The sequence below is a fragment of the Homo sapiens genome, chromosome 2 (genome assembly GCF_000001405.40).
Source record: "Homo sapiens chromosome 2, GRCh38.p14 Primary Assembly".
NCBI lineage: Eukaryota > Metazoa > Chordata > Mammalia > Primates > Hominidae > Homo > Homo sapiens.
The window spans coordinates 12,606,643-12,609,849 of record NC_000002.12 but is presented as its reverse complement, the minus strand read 5'-3'; the positions used below and the strand labels follow the sequence as shown (position 1 = coordinate 12,609,849).

Here is a 3,207-nt window from a genome sequence, read left to right as displayed (position 1 = left end):
GAAGTTTCTGTCTCGTAATAACTGTGTTCTTTTTTGGGGGGGTGGGGGGCGGGGGACGGAGTCTCGCTCTGTTGCCCAGGCTGGAGTGCAGTGGCGCGATCTCGGCTCGCCGCAAGCTCCGCCTCCCGGGTTCATGCCATTCTCCTGCCTCAGCCTCTCGAGTAGCTGGGACTACAGGTGCGCGCCACCAGGCCCGGCTAACTTTTTTGTATTTTAGTAGAGACGGGGTTTCACGATGTTGGCCAGGATGGTCTCGATCTCCTGACCTTGTGATCCACCCACCTCGGCCGACCAAAGTGCTGGGATTACAGGCGTGAGCCACTGCGCCTGGCCAACTTGCCTTTTTTTAAAAATAATCTTCTATGTCTTTACTTAAGCCTATGAATATATGGACTGCATGTATAATGACTGCTTGAATGTCATTGTTTGCTAATTCTAACATATGTGTCAGTTCTGGATCAGAATCTTTGATTTGATACCCAATATTATAAATTTTACCTTGTTGAATGCTGGGTTTTTTAAAAAATCATAATATTCTTGAGATTTATGCTAGGATGCCATTTTTACTTGGGAAAAGTTTGCCCCTTTAGAGTCTTGCTTTTATCATTTGTTAGGAAGACCCAGAGCATTTTAGAGCTAATTACTTTCCATTATTGAAGCAAGATTTTCCTGAGTATTCTACGCAATGTCCAGGGAATAATGAGATTCTTCAATCTGGTTGGTGGAAACAGGCAGTATTTCCAGACCTGTATGAGTGCTGAGTACTCTTTCTTTTCATCTTTTGGATGGTTCTTGCTCCAGCCTTGGTGCATGGCTTGGTCAGTATTCTGCTGAAAATGTAAGAGGGTCCCAGCCTTGGTGCATGGCTTGGTCAGTATTCTGCTGAAAATGTAAGAGGGTCCCTTGCATTTCTCCAGGATTCTTTCTATATATGATTTTCTTCTCTTCAGTACTTTGTTCCACAAACTCTAGGTTCCTTGGTATCCCTGAAATCTCAGCTTTGTTTCTTCATCCATGGAGTCCACCCGGTTCTTCCTTGGTGTTCTCCCTCTGCATCATGGTCTGCAGACTCTCTCAAGGTAGTAAGAGAATCGCAGGATTTATTTCATTTGTTTTCTGTTTTGCATTGATCACTGTCTTTCATTGCCCAATGTTTAGGGTCTTGAAAATCCTTTCTTTCACATTTTCTTTCACATTTTTTGTTCATTTAATTTTTTATTTTCAGGTAGCATTGTAAACCCAGTATTGTTTTTCCATCTTGTCAACATGTGAAAGATAAATTGTATTACTTTTGATCCACACAATTATATCTCCAATATTATAATAAAAGCCAAAAATCAAATATAATTCAATATATATTTGTTTTTCATGCAACTCTTCAGAATTACATACATATGGGTGCATTTGGGATGATAATTACCAGGGAGGTCTAGTTCGGTTTTCCTTTTTGATTTTATCTGGGTCCAGCTAAAATTCCATTACGATTGTTCTGAGGACAAAGCATTATTGATCTGTGGCATGTAAGAATTAATTTTGTATTAAATTAAGTTCTAACAATCATTAAATAGGTGACACTTTTGTGGTACCCTGAGTCACTGGGGAAATGCAGCACTTTGGAGATACGCAACCTGGGAAGTCACTATGACTCAGAGACCTCAGTCTCTCACAGGCCTGCTGAAGAGCCACATTCAAAGAAGGTGCTCAACAAATATTGAGTGAACTAATCAGTGAAGATCATATGACCGTAAAGTGATGAGACTGGTTATTTGGTATGCATATGCAAATGGTGAAGGAGAAGCCTCCTGTGGAGGAAAAAAACAGATCTTGGGCTCAGAGAGAATTAGGATCTAATTGTAGTTCCTTATTTAACAGGTAAGTGAAAAACAAGTTTAAAAAATCCAAGCTTTATTGTTGTCATCTTTAAAATGAGATAACATTGTCTATCTCACAATATTATTAAAAAGATAATATCGGATGTGTATAAGATACACCCAACATAGAGTATGGTAAACATTAGGCATCCAATTAATGCAAGTTGTCGCTTCTATAGACCACCCCCCTGTGGAAGGTAAAACCTTTGCACTGTCATTGCTCACAAATGTGTAAGAGACTGATCAAAAGTAGGGAGGAAAAGAGTTGCAATTTCTTCACTGATGTTAAATCTTTGAGAATGAATTTGATTTTATAAAGAGCCAAACATCATTCAAAACAAAAGCAAGTAAATAAGTGAAGTGACTTATCAATGGGGATAAAAATGAATAAACACAAAAGGATGTGACGATAAAATCATGTCACACAAATTCAAGTGATTCATAAGCAAGCCTTATATCATTTCCCGATTTGGAAACTATAAGTGTTCCTAGGATTACTACACCATAGGAATAAGTTTTCCTCCCTCTTGAAGGAAGATCCTGGAAATAAACACACTCATGTGGATATATACCTCCTGCTCTGTTTTTTAGAAAGGAAAAAAGACATGAAACTATCTCATTTTGTTACTATCTGATGACCCCTTTTACAACCTTGTTTCAGTCTATGATGCCTTTTTATATATGTTGGTTTGTAATCAGACGAAACAGAAATTCAGATAAGCTTTAAGTGACTTGCCTATGATCATACATGGGTAACTCTCAGCAGTGGATTTTGAACCTAAATTGCGCTTTTCCCACCATGCTACCTATCCTTTTTTTGTACCCTACTCTAAAAATGTTTTATTTTCAGAACAAATTAATGCTAGTCAATCAACTGATAAGTGAAAATATTTAGGGAAGCAAGTAATACTATAAATTATTACTATTATCATTATTAATTTTTATTCCCAATGTTTCAAGATGGAGATAAACTTAATCTGCATGCATTCTTAAAGAGTGACTTCAGTTCTGTGTAGCTGGGTCTTGGCAGTTGGGAAAACACCCACAGTGACTTTAGTGAGATTTTGAATCATTTTATCTCTGGAGTCTCCCGTGGCTTTGTAGGTTCAGACAGAATGCAGTGAGAACTGCCTTTCCCACCCTCTTTCTTTAGCAAATTCAGACTCAGAGTGCGGGGATGCTCCAGCTGCATCCAATTAAACTCCCCCAAACAGGAAGGAAAAGGAGCTGACTACAGTTGCTGCAGAAACATTGAACAGTCTCATTTCCACAGACGGTTCAGCCTCCTCACCAGGACACACTCAGACCATGTCGTGTAGAAAGTCCATGCTCCAGA

General features: G+C 38.9%; 1 annotated feature.

The window, feature by feature from the left end:
• Nucleotides 2,441-2,641: a silencer, noted in NCBI's record as "peak3596 fragment used in MPRA reporter construct". NCBI's record gives its function as "represses an SCP1 promoter by STARR-seq MPRAs in K562 erythroleukemia cells {active_cell/tissue: K562}" and the evidence as "EXISTENCE:reporter gene assay evidence [ECO:0000049][PMID:32103011]".